This window comes from Homo sapiens, chromosome 10 (assembly GCF_000001405.40).
Source record: "Homo sapiens chromosome 10, GRCh38.p14 Primary Assembly".
NCBI lineage: Eukaryota > Metazoa > Chordata > Mammalia > Primates > Hominidae > Homo > Homo sapiens.
Window position 1 is genome coordinate 50348633 of NC_000010.11, and position 20689 is coordinate 50369321.

At 39.8% G+C, this 20689-nt stretch overlaps 1 protein-coding gene across 15 annotated transcripts in view, besides 2 other annotated features; it reads right to left on the minus strand.

Moving 5' to 3' along the window:
* The window catches only part of SGMS1 (sphingomyelin synthase 1), a 319585-nt gene that overhangs the window by 43033 nt on the left and 255863 nt on the right, over window positions 1–20689 (minus strand). The window contains exon 1 of one of the 15 annotated variants that reach the window (XM_011539583.3): window positions 13340–13431. The exons of the other annotated variants lie outside the window; for them this stretch is intronic. The gene's annotated coding sequence lies outside the window, so the exon portion shown is untranslated. Of the gene's footprint in view, window positions 1–13339; window positions 13432–20689 lie in introns of those variants that run through there. 15 annotated transcript variants of the gene reach the window in all.
* Window positions 6930–7130: a silencer, noted in NCBI's record as "fragment chr10:52115322-52115522 (GRCh37/hg19 assembly coordinates)". NCBI's record gives its function as "represses an EF-1alpha promoter that drives an FKBP-Casp9 reporter gene in an ReSE screen in K562 erythroleukemia cells {active_cell/tissue: K562}" and the evidence as "EXISTENCE:reporter gene assay evidence [ECO:0000049][PMID:32094911]".
* Window positions 14260–14329: an enhancer, noted in NCBI's record as "active region_3359". NCBI's record gives its function as "activates an Ori minimal core promoter by ATAC-STARR-seq in GM12878 lymphoblastoid cells {active_cell/tissue: GM12878}" and the evidence as "EXISTENCE:reporter gene assay evidence [ECO:0000049][PMID:35858748]".

The following is a 20689-nucleotide window of genomic DNA, read 5'->3' on the forward strand; positions in this document are numbered from 1 at the left end:
AGAACTACAAACCACTACTCAAGGAAATAAGAGATGACACAAACAAATGGGAAAACATCCCATGCTTATGGATAGGAAGAATCAATATCATGAAAATGGCCATACTGCCCAAAGTAATTTATAGCTTCAATGCTATTCCCATCAAGCTACCACTGACTTTCTTCACAGAACTAGAGAAACCTACTTCAAATTTCATATGGAACCAAAGAAGAGCCTGTAAAGCCAAGACAATCCTAAGCAAAAAGAACAAAGTTGGAAGCATCACGCTACCTGACTTCAAACTATACTACAAGGCTACAGTAACCAAAACAGCATGGTACTGGTACTAAAACAGGTATATAGACAATCAACTTTAAAATAGGAAAAAATCAAATGCTAGGAGCCAATTTCATAATGGTCCATCAAGTATCCATCTGGCATTACAAGCATGGCAAGCACATATCTAACAAAGGAACTCGAATATTGCAAAGGTGAGCCCCATCAGGGCCTCTTTGAGACAGTGAGACAAATTAATGGCTTCTATTAACTAACTGGGACAACAAAATTATTCCTTCCTTAAAATAACCCCTGTGCTTCCCCATAACTTGGAATTCTCTACGTATTCATCAAGAAGTTTAGATTCTTCCTTTAGTCTTTAAGGTCCTTCTCTGCAAAGCCTTAGCTGTCTACTCCACTTCATAATCCTTTTCTCCTCCCTGAATTCCTAAACCATGAATACCTGTGGTACACAATACAATTTAATGGTCTTATGTGTGTGCTATGGTAGAAAGAGTATTAGCCAAGTGAGCCAGGGAGCCTGCGTTTGAGAGTCTATCCAGCTACTTCCCTTCTCGACAAAGTCCTTTAGCCTTGCCAAGCCTGTTTCCTCTGGGAAATAGGATTAACAACTACCTTACCTACTGATATAGCTTGGCTGTGTCCCACCCAAATCTCATTCTGAATTGTATTCCCATAATTCCCATTCTCCTCATGTGTTGTGGGAGAGACCCAATAGGAGATAATTTGAATCATGGAGGTGGTCCCCTTATACTGTTCTTGTGGTAGTGAATAAGCCTCATGAGATCTGATGGGTTTATCAGAGGTTTCCACTTTTGCTTCCTTCTCATTTTCTCTTACCACCACCATGTAAGAAGTGCCTGTCACTTCCTGCCATGATTCTCAGGCCTCTGCAGCCATGTGGAGCTGTAAGTCCATTTAAACCTCTTTTTCTTCTCAGTCTTGGGTATGTCTTTATCAGCAGCATGAAAACAAACTAATACAGTACATTGGTACCAGTAGAGTAGGGTGTTGCTGAAAAGATATCTGAAAATGTGGAAGCGACTTTGGAACTGGGTAACAAGCAGAGGCTGGAACAGTTTGGAGGGCTCAGAAGAAGACAGAAAAATGTGGGAAAGTTTGGAACTTCCTAGAGACTTGTTGAATGGCTTTTCCCAAAATGCTGATAGCAATATGAACAATAAGGTCCAGGCTGAGGTGGACTCAGATGGAGATGAGGAACTTGTTGGGAACTGGAGCAAAGGTACTCTTGTTATGTTTCAGCAAAGAGACCGGAAGCATTTTGCCCCTGCCCTAGAGATTTGTGGAACTTTGAACTTGAGAGAGACGTTTTAGGGTACCTGGCGGAAGAAATTTCTAAGCAGTAAAGCATTTAAGATGTAACCTGGGTGCTGTTAAAGGCATTCAGTTTGATAAGGGAAGCAAAGCATTCAGTTTGATAAGGGAAAATCTGCAGCCTGACTATGTGATAGAAAAGAAAAACACATTTTCCTGGGAGAAATTCAAGCTGGCTGCAGAAATTTTCATAAGTAGTAAGGAGCTTAGTGTTAATCCCCAGGACAATGGGGGAAATGTCTCCAGGGCATGTCAGAAGTTCTTCACAGCAGCCCCTCCCATCACAGGCCCAGGAGGAAAACGTTGTTTCATGGGCCGGGTCCAGGGTCCCCGTGCTGTGTGCAGACTAGGGACTTGGTGCCCTGTGTCCCAGGCACTCTAGCAGTGGCTGAAAGGGGCCAAAATACAGCCCGGGCTGTGGCTTCAGAGGGTGGAAGCCCCAAGCCTTGGCAGCTTCCCCATTGTGTTGAGCCTGCGGGTGCACAGAAGTCAAGAATTGAGGTTTGGGAACTTCTGCCTAAATTTCAGAAGATGTATGGAAATGCCTGGATGCCCAGGAAAAAGTTTGCTGCAGGGGCCCGGCCCTCATGGAGAACCTCTGCTAGGGCAGTGCAGAAGGGAGATGTGGGGTCAGAGCCCCCACATAGAGTTCCTACTGGGGTACTGCCTAGTGGAGCTGTGAAAAGAGGGCCACCATCCTCCAGACCCCAGAATGGTAGATCTACTGGCAGTGTGCACCATGCACCTGGAAAAGCCACACTCAATGCCAGTCCATGAAATCAGCCGGGAGGGAGGCTGTACCCTGCAAAGCCAAAGGGGTGGGGCTGCTCAAGACCATAGGAACACACCTTTTGCATCAGTGTGACCAAGATGTGAGACCTGGAGTCAAAGGAGATCATTTTGGAGCTTTAATATTTGACTGCCCCACTGGAGTTTGGACTTACATGGGTCTGTAACCCCTTTGTTTTGGCCAATTTCCCCCATTTGGAAATGCTGTATTTACCCAATACCTGTACCCCTACTGCATCTAGGAAGTAACTAGCTTGCTTTTGATTTTACAGACTCATAGGCAGAAGGGACTTGTCTTGTTTCAGATCAGACTTTGGACTGTGGACTTTTGGATTAATGCTGAAATGAGTTAAGACTTTGGGGGATTGTTGGGAAGGCATGATTGGTTTTGAAATGTGAGGATGTGAGATTTTGCGGGGACAGGGGCAGAATGATATGGTTTGGCTGTGTGCCCACGCAAATCTCATTTTGAATTGAATTCCCATAATTCCCATGTATTGTGACAGGGACCCAGTGGGAGACAATTTAAATCATGGGCAGTTTCCTCCATGCTGTTGTCATGGTAGTGAATAAGTCTCATGAGATCTGATGGGTTTATCAGGGGTTTCCATTTTTGCTTGCTCCTCATTTTTCTCTTGCCGCCACCATGTAAGAAGTGCCTTTTGCCTCCTGCCATGATTCTGAGGCCTCCCTAGCCATGTGGAACTGTAAGTCCAATTAAATATCTTTTTCTTCCCAGGCTCGGGGTGTCTTTATTAGTAGTGTGGAAACGAACTAATACACCTACCTTCACACAGGCTGCTACTGCTGGGAGGATTCAATCATGTAAAAGGAATAAAAGCTACTAATTACTCTAGGAAGTATATCTTGGTCTTCTTGTAACAACCTACACTTCTTATCTATTGCCCAATTCGGTCCACAGTGACACTTCATAAATATATACTGAAGCTGCCACTTACAAATGACATATTTAAAGCCCAATCATTCTGACCCACGAGTAAAGAGAGCCTTCGAAATTTCAAGAGCAAATAAACTTTTATTTTTCCAAGCAAGTTTTGAAACTTGAAATAAAGGTATACATGCTGTTTTCCTGCAACTGATGCTGAAATTGTGCAAAAGAGGGAAAAGCTCATTGCTATGGAAGTGAACTGTTGGACAGCTATTCAGTACTTCAAAGGTCACTGCTAAAAAGTGGACCCCCAAGACCCCAGAGCCCAGCTATACAGGGTGAGGTAAGAGTTACTCTTCCCTGAATTCACACACTGTGGTGTTTTTGAAAAGGGAAAGACAAAATATCATATCTAGACCCAGAAGACTGTATGTTAGCCTGGGCTCAGAGAAGAACTGCCACCATCCCCAGAAAAGCCATGCTGAATCCATTATTGGGAGAATGTTAAAAAATAACATAGAGCCCAAATTACTAGACATTTTTCAGAACTGGTAATAATATAAGAGTAAAAATATGCATAAATTCTTTATCCCAAAATAACACAAAATTTGAGACACAGAAGTAGCACAGAAATACTTCGTTCATATCTAAGTTTTAGAGATAAGTAAACTAAAATGCAGTGAGATTGTGATTGGTCTAAAATCTCATACATAGCAAAGAGTCACCTTGGGGCTAGACCAAGACCCAAAATGCTTTTTAGGGCTCTCCCACTGAAATAGATTCAATAGTCTCACAGATCTAAGCTTGTATCAAGGGTAGTCTAAAAAGTTTCTTAAAATTATAATGGTGTTCTAAATACAAACTACCATCAGAGAATACTATAAACACCTCTATGCAAATAAACTAGAAAATCTAGAAGAAATGAATAAATTCCCCGACACATACACTCTCCCAAGACTAAACCAGGAAGAAGTTGAATCTCTGAACAGACCAATAACAGGCTCTGAAATTGAGGCAATAATCAATAGCTTACCAACCAAAAAAAGTCCAGGACCAGATGGATTCACAGCCGAATTCTACCAGAGGTACAAGGAGGAGCTGGTACCATTCCTTCTGAAACTATTCCAATCAATAGAAAAAGAGGGAATCCTCCCTAACTCATTTGATAAGGCCAGCATCATCCTGATACCAAAGCCTGGCAGAGACACAACAAAAAAAGAGAATTTTAGACCAATGTCCCTGATGAACATCGATGCAAAAATCCTCAATAAAATACTGGCAAACCGAATCCAGCAGCACATCAAAAAGCTTCTCCACCATGATCAAGTGGGATTCATCCCTGGGATGCAAGGCTGGTTCAACATACGCAAATCAATAAACGTAATCCAGCATATAAACAGAACCACTGACAAAAACCACATGATTATCTCAACAGATGCAGAAAAGGCCTTTGACAAAATTCAACAACCCTTCATGCTAAAAACTCTCAATATATTAGGTATTGATGGGATGTATCTCAAAATAATAAGAGCTATCTATGACAAACCCACAGCTAATATCATAATGAATGGGCAAAAACTGGAAGCATTCCCTTTGAAAACTGGCACAAGACAGGGATGTCCTCTCTCACCACTCCTATTCAACATAGTGTTGGAAGTTCTGGCCAGGGCAATCAGGCAGGAGAAGGAAATAAAGGGTATTCAATTAGGAAAAGAGGAAGTCAAATTGTCCCTGTTTGCAGATGACATGATTTTATATCTAGAAAACCCCATCGTCTCAGCCCAAAATCTCCTTAAGCTGATAGGCAACTTCAGCAAAGTCTCAGGATACAAAATCAATGTGCAAAAATCACAAGCATTCTTATACACCAATAACAGACAAACAGAGAGCCAAATCATGAGTGAACTCCCATTCACAATTGCTTCAAAGAGAATAAAATACCTAGGAATCCAACTTACAAGGGATGTGAAGGACCTCTTCAAGGAGAACTACAAAACCACTGCTCAATGAAATAAAAGAGGATACAAACAAATGGAAGAACATTCCATGCTCATGGGTAGGAAGAATCAACATCGTGAAAATGGCCATACTGCCCAAGGTAATTTATAGATTCAATGCCATCCCCATCAAGCTACCAATGACTTTCTTCACAGAATTGGAAAAAACTACTTTAAAGTTCATATAGAATCAAAACAGAGCCCGCATTGCGAAGTCAATCCTAAGCCAAAAGAACAAAGCTGGAGGCATCACACTACCTGACTTCAAACTATACTACAAGGCTACAGTAACCAAAACAGCATGGTACTGGTACCAAAACAGAGATATAGACCAATGGAACAGAACACAGCCCTCAGAAATAATGCCGCATATCCACAACTATCTGATCTTTGACAAACCTGACAAAAACAAGAAATGGGGAATGGATTCCCTATTTAATAAATGGTGCTGGGAAAACTGACTAGCCATATGGAGAAAGCTGAAACTGGATCCCTTCCTTAAACCTTATACAAAAATTAATTCAAGATGAATTAAAGACTTAAATTTTAGACCTAAAACCATAAAAACCCTAGAAGAAAACCTAGGCAATACCATTCAGGACACAGGCATGGGCAAGAACTTCATGTCTAAAACACCAAAAGCAATGGTAACAAAAGCCAAAATTGACAAATAGGATCTAATTAAACTAAAGAGCTTCTGCACAGCAAAAGAAACTACCATCAGAATGAACAGGCAACCTACAGAATGGGAGAAAAGTTTTGCAATCTACTCATCTGACAAAGGGCTAATATCCAGAATCTACAATAAACTGAAAGACATTTACAAGAAAAAAACAAACAACCCCATCAAAAAGTGAGCGAAGGATATGAACAGACACTTCTCAAAAGAAGACATTTATGCAGCCAAAAGACACATGAAAAAGTGCTCATCATCACTGACCATCAGAGAAATGCAAATCAAAACCACAATGAGATACCATCTCACACCAGTTAGAATGGAGATCATTAAAAAGTCAGGAAACAACAGGTGCTGGAGAGGATGTGGAGAAATAGGAACACTTTTACACTGTTGGTGGGACTGTAAACTAGTTCAACCATTGTGGAAGTCAGTGTGATGATTCCTCAGGGATCTAGAACTAGAAATATCATTTGACCCAGCCATCCCCATTACTGGGTATATACCCAAAGGATTATAAGTCATGCTGCTATAAAGACACATGCACATGTATGTTTACTGTGGCACTATTCACAATAGCAAAGACTTGGAACCAACCCAAATGTCCAACAATGACAGACTGGATTAAGAAAACGTGGCACATATACACCATGGAATACTATGCAACCATAAAAAATGACCCTCTTCCCTCTTCCCTCTCCCTCTTTGCACTGTCTCCCTCTGATGCCAAGCCGAGGCTGGACTGTACTGCCGCCATCTCGGCTCACTGCAACCTCCCTGCCTGATTCTCCTGCCTCAGCCTGCCCGGTGCCTGGGATTGCAGGCGCGCGCCACCACGCCTGACTGGTTTTCGTGTTTTTGGTGGAGACAGGGTTTCGCCGTGTTGGCCGGGCTGGTCTCCAGCTCCTGACTGCGAGTGATCTGCCAGCCTTGGCCTCCCAAGGTGCCGGGATTGCAGACGGAGTCTCGCTCACTCAGTGCTCAATGTTGCCCAGGCTGGAGTGCAGTGGCGTGATCTCGGCTCGCTACAACCTCCACCTCCCAGCCGCCTGCCTTGGCCTCCCAAAGTGCAGAGATTGCAGCCTCTGCACGGCTGCCACCCCGTCTAGGAAGTGAGGAGCGCCTCTGCCTGGCCGCCCATCGTCTGGGATGTGAGGAGCCCCTCTGCCCGGCTGCCCAGTCTGGGAAGTGAGTAGCGCCTCTTCCCAGCCGTCATCCCGTCTAGGATGTGGGGAGCGCCTCTGCCCCGCCGCCCTGTCTGAGATGTGAAGAGCGCCTCTGCCCAGCCGCGACCCCGTCTGGGAACTGAGGAGTGTCTTTGCCCCGCCGCCACCCTGTCTGGGAGGTAAGGAGCATCTCTGACCGGCCGCCCCGTCTGAGAAGTGAGGAGCCCCTCCGCTCGGCAGCTGCCCCGTCTGGGAAGTGAGGAGCCCCTCCGCCCGGCAGCCACCCCGTCTGGGAGGTGTACCCAACAGCTCATTGAGAACGGGCCATGATGACGATGCAGTTTTGTCGAATAGAAAAGGGGGAAATGTGGGGAAAAGAAAGAGATCAGATTGTTACTCTGTCTGTGTAGAAAGAAGTAGACATAGGAGACTCCATTTTGTTCTCTACTAAGAAAAATTCTTCTGCCTTGGGATGCTGTTAATCTATAAACCTTACCCCCAACCCTGTGCTCTCTGAAACATGTGCTGTGTCCACTAAGGGTTAAATGGATTAAGGGCGGTGCAAGATGTGCTTTGTTAAACAGATGCTTGAAGGCAGCATACTCCTTAAGAGTCATCACCACTCCCTAATCTCAAGTACCCAGGGACACAAACACTGCGGAAGGCGGAAGGCGGCAGGGCCCTCTGCCTAGGAAAACCAGAGACCTTTGTTCACATGTTTATCTGCTGACCTTCCCTCCACTATTGTCCTATGACCCTGCCAAATCCCCCTCTCCGAGAAACACCCAAGAATGATCAATAAATACTAAAAAAATTAAAAAAAAATTTATTGTATGTTAATTACATCTCAATAAAGCTGTTTTAAAAATTATAAAAAATCAAAACCATACACCCACATATATAATGAATATAGATTTTAAAACAATAAATCTAATGCCTGGAACTCTTAAAAAAATAAAAAAATAAAAAATAAAAAAATAAAAAATGATGAGTTCATGTCCTTTGTAGGGACATGGATGAAGCTGGAACCATCATTCTCAGCAAACTGTCACAAGGACAAAAAACCAAACACCACATGTTCTCACTCATAGGTGGGAATTGAACAATGAGATCACATGGACACAGGAAGGGGAACACCACACACCGGGGCCTATTGTGGGGTGGGGGGAGTGGGGAGGGATAGCATTAGGAGATATACCTAATGCTAAATGACGAGTTAATGGGTGCAGCATGCAGCACACCAACATGGCACATGTATACATATGTAACAAACCTGCACATTGTATACCTGTACCCTAAAACTTAAAGTATAATAAAAAAAAAAAAGCAGAGAAAAACAGCACGTGTTCATTATAGATTCTAAGCTTACCGGGATTTTATATTTAGCCTCAATTTAGTAAAAAAGAAATGTGCTAAATTCAATTTGGCTCCAATTTTAGCCTTTAATATTATAAAAACCATCAGACAATATGCCATGACATGGTAAAAACGATGTACAGTTAATTATCAAAGCCAAGCAGGTCTTTAAACAGAAAAGTAAAAGCAATTATTCTGGTAATGAAAAAAAAAATTACTAACCAAAATTAGTAAATAAATCATTTATAAATTTTTTTTATCCTTATTCACAAATAATCTATTATACTACCTTGTCATCTGGCACTCGCTAGAAACAAGACAGGGTTAACAATTTACCATGCAAATTTCACACTGAACATAAGTTTTCAAGAATCAGAATACCACAAAATACTGCAATGCAACGAGACCTGGGGCAATTGCTCAGAAAATCTGAATTCTAACACTTGTTCTAGCACTAACCTGTACTCCAACCCCAGTGTCTCAGTTTCCTAGTATGGAATAATTTATTCCATCCACTTATTCTATTAGTTAAGGGAATTTGCATGTACCTGACAGTGCTTTGGAAAACATAATACATAAAATGTAAGAAATTATTATACTGAATATAATTTATTCTTTCCTTGACGATTCGATGGACTTTTAAAATGAATGCCATGAAATTAATAATTTAATTTTTATGATTTTTTAAGGCATGAAGGACTCAAGATTGAACAAACAAGCTGGCGTATCAGTGAAGAAAGTACTGAGAAACTACAGGATTCTAGATGTTTCTAAATGCTGATAATGACAAAAGAATGATGAAAGTCCTACATGCGTAGTCTCTTAGACTTATAGTGAACCAAACTTTTGGCTTCACGTATCAAACCTCTAAAAACAAAAGCACCTGGACATGGTGGTTCATGCCTGTAATCGCAAAACTTTGGGAGGCCAAGGTGGGAGAATCTCTTGAGGCCAGGAGTTCATGACCAGTCTAGGCAACACAGTGAGACAACATCTCTATTTTTTTTAAATGTAACAAAAAATAAATACATTTAATAATAAAAACAAAAGCAAAAGTAACATGGAGTATATACATGACTTTACTCTGAAAGCTTACAGTTGACTTAAAGGAAGATCAAAATCTTGCGGACATGTAGCATTTAGCTCAAACTTTATAACACAAAACTACCTGTGGGGTACCTTGTTAAAGGGCAATACAAATCAAGAATTGATATTATTTTATTATGAAACAGACCAAGTGCCTCTTTGTAAAAGCTTCAAGTTCAGATAAAAGTTTTTACATCTTGTGGAACTTTCCATAAAATAATAACCAGAACAGGTACAGTGGCTCACACATTTTGGGAGGCTGAGGCAGGTGGATAACTTAAGGCCAGGAGTTTGAGACCAGCCTGGGCAAAACCTGTGTCTACTAAAAATACAAAACTTAACTGGGCGTGGTAGCTCATGCCTGCAATCCCAGATACTCAGGAAGCTGAGGCATGAGAATTGCTAGAACCTGGGAGGCAGAGGCTGCAGTAAGCCGAGATCCTGTCACTGCACTCCAGCCTCCAGCCTGAGCAACAGAGCAAGACTTTGTCTCAAAAAAAGTAAATAATAACCTAACAGATCTTTTAAGGCAATGTAGCCCACTGAAATACTCATGAGATAGGTGTTCAATTATTCTCTAATTCAATTTGGATAGCTTTACTCCAAACAAATCTAATAAGGTATAGATTTGTTATTTAGCATTTGAAGAGTTAAATAGAAGAGTTCATAAAATGGTATAGATTTGAAGAACAAAAATGGTTAAAGTAACAGCCACATAGTTTCAGCTGAAGGACCTACACATTTATTTCAGTCTACTGTTGAGAAAATTTTAGAAGATTACTTTTGATGCCTTAACCTTTAAATTGTCCCTTATTTTAAATTGCTATTACATGCTGTGCTCAGAATTCCACAGTCCAACTCTGGTTAGCAAATAAAATCATCCCCTATGAAATGGCCCCTTGAACTAAGTAAGTGTGTGCTGACCTACTTTGCTAAGATACAAGAAGAAGGGCTTGCTGGAGTGTATGTATTTTGCCTTTTTGTCCACTTTGGCTGGTAGACTTTAGGCTGTTAGAAGAGCCTTACTTAATGACATCTTTTGGTCTCCTCCACACTGTGTTTATTCAATAATGTTTAATACTTAGATTTCACAACATCTGAAATATATTTCTCTCAGTAGCTGCCCTATAACTTATGCAATTGATAGTTTCCCCCCTTTTCCCCACCTCTCCCAAAATGACCCATTCCATCGTAGTAGCCTCAGTGTTGTAGAAGAAAAGAGAGAATTTGGGGAGACAAAACAGATATGACACAATGACAATAAATCAGCCATGTCCACTGTATACCATGGACATGTTTATAGTTGTTCACTGAGGATATGAAATATAATACTGTTTTATACATTTCATGGAGAGTCCTGGCACCAGCAACATCAGCTAATTCTGCCTCCCCTTCCCCAAGCCTCCAATTGAGTCATTTTGTGACAGAATATATGTAAATATTTAGTGATCAAGAAATCTAAACAATCATTCATTATGGCAAAAAAAAAAAAACTAGAAAAAGAATCTAAAAGCTCTAGAGTAGAAATTGATTAAATATATTGTACAACAGAATACCAAGCCTCTGCCACAGACTGTACTGTATTTCCATATCTATAGTAATACATATTTATAGCTTTGTCACATAAACAGGTTACAAACAAAATGTATTACTTTTGTAAACACATATTACAAATATCCACAGGGAAAAAAGGGTTAACTTCTTAACCCTTACCTCTGGGTAATAGAATTATGAAATAAATTTCTGCTTTACTTTTTTTTCAGTATTTTCTAATTTCTCTGATAAACATATATTACTTGCATTTAGAAGGGGAAAGGATTTTTTCCCCCAAACATACTCTATGTTTTTGAACATGTAGTCTGCTTTGTAAATTTAAAAATACGTGTTTCCTTCATTAGCTTTCTTAAAAAATATAAAATGAGCTTGCAGATTTCTCTAAATAATAGGAATCTTGGCTTTCTGTGTATAATTATGTTCCCAAATTCTTCATATTCCCAAGACATAATGGTCCAGGCGTACAAGCCAAACCACCAAAAAAGATGAAGCTGAAATCTGAATCCAAGTGCATAAAGCAACTCCAGTCTCAGATATTTCCCATCATTCCAGAGGGAAAACAATAAGCTATTAGCTTTACAATTGTTCTATTATCTAGATTTCCTTCAATATCCATCCATCCAGGCTGCTGCAAAACAGCAAAGCCTTTAAAAAAAAACTCTGCAGGTTGTCATTACAATAAAAACTAATATAATAGCTCTACTGATAACTAATCACTATTGTTTTTCCCATGGGATTTCATTCTTAGTACTAATTACCAAAAACTCGGGAGATGATCTACTCCCACTCAACTGACTAACTGCCCCTCTGAGTCCGAACCAGCAGGACTATTTTAATATTTGCCTAGTTAATCTGTAGAACTTGGACACGGATTCACTCCAGCAGTACTCAAGAATGGAGGACCTAATCAATGTTTCCAAATTCCATTAGCTCTCACATGAGCTGATGCACACAGTACTGATCTCATCTGCCCTGAGAAGCCTGGGAAAGTCTAACACAGGCTATTTCTATCACACAACACTCACTTCCTTTCCCTTCTTCCTATCTTTTTCAAAATGAGAGCTAAAATTCTTCTAATTTGCTCCTCATTTAGCTAGAATAAAAATATTGCATGTGCCCTGGAATCCATCATAAAAGTAAGTTAAAACTGTAAAAAGCCAGATGGCTTAGGAAAAGGGTGAGGCCGTGCTTTACTATCCTCTGCTTTTTAAGAATCTTTGATGCCATATTCTAAAGCATACCCACAGTGCCCAGCTTACTAAAACTACCTCTATCTACTCACCTATAAAGTAAAAGTAATCCTGCATTCTTCTGGGGAGTAAGAAAGATCAGAAAACTGACATGGAATTTAGTAGGGGCATAGCAGCAGGGGATTTTGAAAGCATCTATGGGAGAAAAAGTTCTGATCCTTCTTTTCCTCCCTTTCCTACAGAAAATCCAACAGTGATCAGTCAAGAGCTGGCGATGGGGGTAGGAGTGGCAACTGCAGGTTGGGGAGGTGGCAGAGCCAGTGTCAGAACAGACGAACGAGGTCACCCTGCCCCACCACTCCTTGATCCCTCCTCATCCCTGTCTCTCCTCATACCCCCAGGATTAAGCAAGCATAAACTAAAAAGGCTGCCCGAGGAAGTCATTCCATCAGGCTCTCAAGTTCACATACCCGTCAGAACCCAGGCACATTAAATCAACCTGGATCACAGAGAATATGCAGTCGTCAGGACTGTGGCAAACAGGATAGGGCAAGCCATACCTAGTGCAGTTAAAGTTCAATTTTTTAAGGGGCAAAAATAAACAAAAAACATGCAAGCTGAATCTGGCCCACGGGATTGCCCCTTGCAACTTCACTTGCTCTCTCATTCATTATATCTAATCATGAATTCCTGGAGATCCTATCTTGAAGGCTCTCTCAAACTGTTCCCTTTTCCCTATTCCCATTTGCTTCTGCTTTAGTTTCTGCCTCCAGCCTGGCTCAACTGCAACCCTCTGCCACACTACCATGAGATCTAGTTCATAATCTGATCTCTTCACTTGAGGCTTAAGCTCCCCACAGCTCTCAAGATGATGTTCAGATGCCTTGACTTAGCTCCAAGGCCTTCCATGACACGGCCTATTTATTTACCTGTATTTTTCAGCCTTGCCCTACAAGCTCTGGGCCTGTATCATATCCATACTCAAGTGTTCCAGTAGATTCCCACACAAACCAGTCATTTCATACCTTGCAAGTTGTTCCTTCTGCCTGGAATATTCTTCCTACCTTATACCTTCCTTTGTCCTTTCATTTGCTTTGGAATCTCTAGAGCCTAATGCATAGTACACACTTAATAGATGTTTCCTGAATACCTAATTAAATGAGAATGCAAAGGAGATGACTTATGGTTCCAGAACATGGACCCAGTGATGCGTATCTCCTTTATATATCAAGCACATAAAAATCTACATAAAATATAACTGCTGACATTTTAATACCATAATCAGTTTCAAAATAAAGAAAAAGAATTTCTCATGTGTCAAAAGAAGAAAAATCTCAAATTCAGAGTAGAAAAGATACAAGTTAACACTTATATCCCACAGGGATATCAGACTTGGACTCTAGCTGCTAGGGGTTGGGGACTTAAGATCCCAGCCAGGGCAGAGGACTGAAACTTAGACCTTGAATAAAGCAAGAATCTCTCTAAGACCAGAAAAACTGGATCCATGAAACTGACACACAATGATACAGAGTCCAGATTTATACTATCTGCGTAGTGTGAAATTTCCAAGCCAAGAAATTAAGGTAAATATAAAAGAAAAATAAATATAAATAGCTCCTTAAAGGCGCTTCAAAAAGCAATGGTTCATAGGACTCCCATGGAAAAAGTAATCTTTGCTGAGGATGAGCAAATAATTGAAAATTATGAATCACACAAGGAAATGATCCACCATGAGGGAGATTTGCCAGGTGTGACAAACAGGAAGTTTACCAAACCATGAATTTGATCATATAAAACAGGTTTGAAGAGGCTATGAAATAAAGAATTGAAACCACAATGTAAAAACAAGACATGATTTTTTTCTTAAAGATAGATGTGTTTAAAGAAGGTACGGAGAAACCCTAGGTTCTCTCCTCTGGCCTGTGACCCACTGATACTTCAGGAGGAAAGAAGAGAGAGCAACATGTTAAAAGCAGATCAAAAGAGGAAGTGAAATCAGCAAAAAAATAAAGTATATAAATATAAAGACAACTGACAAATTTTGTCAAGCCCCAAGGATCTCAACAATCTAGCACCCACATCTTTTTTGGGGGGTGAAAAGGGAAATAAAAAACTGAATCCAGTTAATTGAAAGATGAATCAGATTTCCAAAAAGGTATTTCACTGGACATATACATTCTATCTCACTGTCTCCAAAAACTCCTCTGAAATGGTAGTAAAAAGATTTTCTTTTTTAAAAAAAGGGACAAGAAATCAAAACAGTCGAAGAGAACAGAAGAGAAGAGAACAGAAGAGGAGAAAACAGGGACACGATTTCGGAAGTTGGGAAGCACATGAATCAGTGGTGACGGATCTGGCAGGCCCAAAACAAGGAGCCCTAAGCCAGCAAAGGGGAAAGAAGCATTCTGATTTACATAACACTAAATATTTCCTCTAGCCTTAAAAGTATGAGGAATTGGTGGCATCAAGTACCTTGGAAATGGTGTGAAAGTGGAGTTAAAAGACCACTTAATAAGTTTCTCTAGATTCTCACTTTGTACAGCTGAGCAACTGCCTCTTCCCCACACCATAGAATACTGAAGTTTATCCTCTGGAAAAGAGACATGGAGAGTTTCTAGAGTAGTGGACATTAAACACAGTTGAAAGCAGTGGTATCTGACTAAAAACAAGGGACAAAGTGAAAGTTGCAAAAAGATTAAGTAGGATCTGCCCTTGCCTTTTACCTTCTTAGGCACCCAGAATAACTTGCAGGTTAATGATCAGATGAATTTTTTTCTAGAAATACCCAAGATTTTAAGAAAAAAGACTTAAGGATACTGATCATCTTACACTGAAACCATATAAACAAGCTCACCTCATGCAAAGAGTTTCCAAACAGTTTTATTTGTGCCTACTTTAAAATATGAAAAAAAATCACCAGGTATCTGAAGAAACTCTCTAATAAATATAAAAGCCAGAGATGAAGATAAAAAACAAACAAACTAAAAGAACTTGGAAAACAGACTATGAAAAACTATTACTAACATTTTCAAAGACATAAGGTATCAAAAAAGAACAAGATGGTACCACAAAAAGGAGAGAGAATTTTAAAAAGAGAGCTCCTGTAAATTCCTAGTCAATATGAACAATTCAATAGGAACAATAGAAAAAGTTGAAAAAAAATTTCAGATGTGAAACAAAATGAAAGATGGAAAATTGAGAGAAGAGAATAATAAAAAAGCAATCTAGAAGCCCAAGATCTGAATAGCAGGAGTTCAAGAAAATCCAAGAAAAAAACAAACAAAGATTTAGAAATATTTTAAATCTAAAAAGAGAAAATTTAAAAAAATTATCAGAACTAAAGGAGACATGAGTTGGCAGACTGAAAGTTCATCAAATGTCCAAAAACAATGGCTGAAAGTACACTTTCTGTTATTACCATTCCACACTAATTAATTTTTTTAAAAAGGATAAGAAGATCTTGAAGAATGCTCCAGCCCCATCCTGCTTTTCACTTTCTGGTTGTACTTCCCTCCATCTCACCCCAACCAGAAGGGCTAGTCTCCATCCTTGACCTTCCTTATTAGGACTTTTGTCCCTAACCAGAAGAGCTACTGAGGACCTAAAGCACAAGGACAATGTTCCTGATATCCAAAAGTAGAGTTTTGATTGTACTTCCAATCACAACCTTGTAATGGGCAATAGTGCCTCCTTAACACTAAAGAAGTGATGAGAACAATAACACCATAAACTTTACATACATGTTATGTAAAATAATCGTTCCCTCCAGCTTTTCTAAGGCAATTCAGATTTCAAACATATTTTTCCCTTCTCTCATACACCATCAAAATGTCCTAGAGGATGCAATATTTCAGTTTCTAAATGACTTCTCTCTTAGCATGTTTCTGCTACCCAGTAGTAGTTACAAATTCTTGATCAGATATGTGCTGACGATTTTTACTCAGAAGCATGGCCACTATAAATAACCTGAGGACTTTGGAAGGCTGACTGGGGCACCCAGTCACCACGCCTAACAAAGATAATCAAAAGCAACTAGGCTGAGCATGGTGGCTCACACCTGTAATCCCAGCACTTTAGGAGGCCAAGGCAGGCAGATCACCTGAGGTCAGGAGCTCAAGACCAGCCTGGCCAACATGGCGAAACCCCATTTCTACTAAAAATACAAAAATTAGCCAGGCATGGTGGAGCATGTAGTCCCAGCTACTCAGGACGTTGAGAATCTCTTGAACCCGGGAGGTGGAGATTGCAGTGAGCCGAGGTCGTGCTACTGCACTCCAGCCTGGGCGACGGAGTGAGACTCCATCTCACCAAAAAAAAAAAAAAAAAAAAAAAGCAACTAATTTAAAGTATGTTTTTGGTTTTTAAGTTGGAGACTTTCTAGTGTTGGTAACAAATTGATAGGCTGAAAGAAAAGAACACAATTTCTTGATTAATATAACATATTCTAAAAACTAACTATACTGAAGTTTTTTTTAAAATTTTATTTTACTTTAAGTTACAAGATACACGTGCAGAGCATGCAGGTTTGTTACGTAAGTATACATGTGCCATGGTGGTCTGCGGTACCTATTAACCCATCATCTAGGTTTTAAGTACCACATGCATTTGTTATTTGTCCTAATGCTCTCTCTCCTCTTGCCCCCATACCCCCGACAGGCCCCGCTGTGTGTTGTTCCCCTCCCTGTGTCCATGTGTTCTCCTTGTTCGACTCCCACTTATGAGTGAGAAGATGAGGTATTTGGTTTTCTGTTCCTGTGTTAGTTTGCTGAGGACGATTACTTCCAGCTTCATCCACGTCCCTGCAAAGACATGATCTAATTCCTTATTATGGCTGCATAGTATTCCATGGTATATATGTACTACATTTTCTTTATCCAGTCTATCATTGATGGGCATTTGGGTTGGTTCCATGTCTTTGCTATTGTAAATGGTACTGCAATAAACATGTGTGCATGTGTCTTTATACTAGAATGATTTATATTCCTTTGGGTATATACCCAGTAATATACTGGGTCAAATGGTAAAATATGCTGGGTCAAATGGTGTAAGTAATATGTTGGGTCAAAAGGTGTAAGTAATATGTTGGGTCAAATGGTGAAAAGCAACTGCAATAAAAGCCAAAATTGATGAATGGGATCTGATTAAACTAAAGAGTTTCTCCACAGCAAAAGAAACTATCATCAGAGTGAACAGGCAACCTACAGAATGGGAGAAAATTTTTGCAATCTACCCATCTGACAAAGGTCTAATATCCAGAATCTACAAGGAACTTAAACAAATTTATAAGAAAAAAAAATCCCATCAAAAAGTGGGCAAAGCAGTTAGAGTGGCGATCATTAAAAAGTCAGAAAACAATAGATGCTGGAGAGGTTGTGGAAAAATATAAACGCTTTTACACTGTTGGTGGAAGTGTAAATTAGTTCAACCATTGTGGAACACAGTGTGGTGATTCCTCAAGGATCTAGAACTAGAAATGCCATTTGACCCAGCAATCCCATTACTGGGCATATACCCAAAGGATTATAAATCATTCTACGATAAAGACACATGCACACGTATGTTTATTGTGGCACTATTCACAATAGCAAAGACTTGGAACCAACCCAAATGTCCAACAATGATAGACTACATTAAGAAAATGTGGCACATATACACCATGGCAAACTATGCAGCCATAAAAAAGGATGAGTTCATGTCCTTTGCAGGGACATGGATAAAGCTGGAAACGATCATTCTCAGCAAACTATCAGAAGATCAGAAAACTAAACACCATGTGTTCTCACTCATAAGTGAGAGTTGAACAATGAGAACACATGGACACAGGGAGGGGAACATCACACACCGGAGCCTGTTGGAGGGTGGGGGGCTAGGGGAGGGATAACATTAGGAGAAATATCTAATGTAGGTGATGGGTTGATGGGTGCAGCAAACCACCATGACATGTGTATACATACCTATGTAACAAAACTGCACGTTCTGCACATGTAACCCAGATCTTGAAGTATAATTTTTAAAAAAGTGGGCAAAGGATATGAACAGACACTTCTCAAAAGAAGATATCTATGCAGCCAATAAACATATGAAAAAAAGCTCAACATCACTGATCATTGGAGAAATGCAAACCAAAACCATAATGAGATACCATCTCATGCCAGTCAGAATGAAGTTAAGTTTTGCAGTCCACTGAGGATTATAAATTCTCATTAGCTGGGTAACCAATGGTTTTCCATTTCACTGAGAAAAAGTCTACCAAAGTATGCTTATAAAAATAAATTGGAGTGACTGAGGTAAAAAGCCTAATTTAAGGAACACAACCCTAGGGACTAACATCAAGTTTCAAAATTAGCAACAACTCACAGGCCCAGATAGGAGAAATCAAGTTCAAGTCTACCTCCCAAAATAAATTTCTAATACTTATTTAGATAGCTACAAAAGATCAAACTATTTTCAGACTAGAGAACATGCAAAGGGATAAATTCTAAATTCATGGCGCTTAAATGTATATCCTTTGAGCATTCCTCGCCATGACAGCACCACTTGCGTGCCCACCATGTTCTTTGCTCCCATATATGGTTCTCCCTGTCTCCTTCTGCTGGTCTCCTGGAGGTAAAAAAAGAATCAAAAGATTTTAAGAAAAGCACATGTAGATCTCTACCTAGATCTCCACACCAGTCCCTACCCTTAATGCATTAAGGTTTTCTTTTCCTGACAGCAATTACGTTAATTCTTTGAAAACAAATATCCATCAATCAATTCATTACATCCTTTCCACTCACCGCTGACTGTGACTTCTTGCTTCTAACTAAGATGTGCTAATTTCCCAAACTTCCAGGTCCCACTTTCACTGAGCTTCTCTATTAACTAACTGCTGGTTAAAAGCACCAAAGTTTGGCTCCCTAGAGGATAATCCTTATCCATGAAGTAGGTCACCACTGGATCACAGGATCAGGTTGTAAAGTGACCACAGCTCTAGTTTTGGACTAAGGTAAAATACCACCAGGGGGCAACGCAAAGTCTGTGAAATTACACACTCATCCCAGTGCCCTTCTCAAGTTATACAGCATCTTAGAGATAGCTTCCAATAGATGTCCTGGGACCAAGTGACAAAACTATGTAATGGAATTGCAAGAACTAGAACCCCTGTTTTCTGAGCCATCAACTGATGTGCTCTCCTCTATATCCATGTGATTTTAATGTGCATTTAGTGACTCTACAATTAGTTGTTTCCATAGTTTTTCATGCAAACATACTGCATATCTAAGCTATCTTGCAGTCATACAAGACCATATCTAGGACACTTCAAAGAAATACAAAAGCTTAAAAATTAAACAGCATGTTGTTTTCTAGAAGGACTAATCTCAAAACCATCACTACAAATATTTATTCTTGCTTTATACTAATTTTTTTATTTTTTATTTTTTACTTTTTGAGCCGGAGTCTCGATCTGTCACCCAGGCTGGAGTGCAATGGTGCGATCTTGGCTTACTGCAACCCCTGCCTCTCGGGTTCAATCAATTCTCCTGACTCAGCCTCCCGAGTAGCTGGGATTACTGGCACCTGCCATCATGCCCAGCTAATTTTTGTATTTTTGTAGAGACAGGGTTTCACCATGCTGGCCAGGCTGGTCTTGAACTCCTGACCTCAGGTGATCTGCCCTCCTTGGCCTCCCAAAGTGTTGGGATTACAGGCGTGAGCCACTGCACCCAGCCAATACTAAATTTTAATGAGCTTTCTTCTCTCACTTCCATAACTATAATTCAACATAACAAAACTAGAGCCTTGCAATTAATCAATGACCACTGAACTGTAAAGAAATTATATAAATTATGTAAGTTTTCAAATTAGTTAACCAAAGGCATTATAAAACAATTTGTAAAATAGATAAAAGATTTGAACAAACACGGCCAAGGCTATTTTGCATTAGGTCAAATAAATACTTTACTCTTAGAAAGCCTTGATTATATATTACTGTGGAATGTTACACTTAAAGAACCAAGGTTCAAAATAAGTTATACATAAAAGTGTTCACAAGTTCACAAGCATTTATGAAGTCTCCAACATTAACGTATATATAACATCAAACATATGAACCATAGCTTTCAATAAATTATGATTAAAAACCTGTAGACAAAATACTCCATAAACAAGCCTAAAAGATAAATGACAACAGGGGACAGAATATTTAAAAAATCCATCATACACTGTAAATATGAAGAGCAGATATTTTCTTAAAAATCTGATAAGAAAAAGACTTTACACAAAGATTACAGGTCAGGTGCAGTGGCTCACATCTGTAATCTCAACACTTTGGGTGGCCAAAGCAGGAGTATTGTTTGAGCCTACGAGTTCAAGACCAGCCTGGGCAACATGGCAAG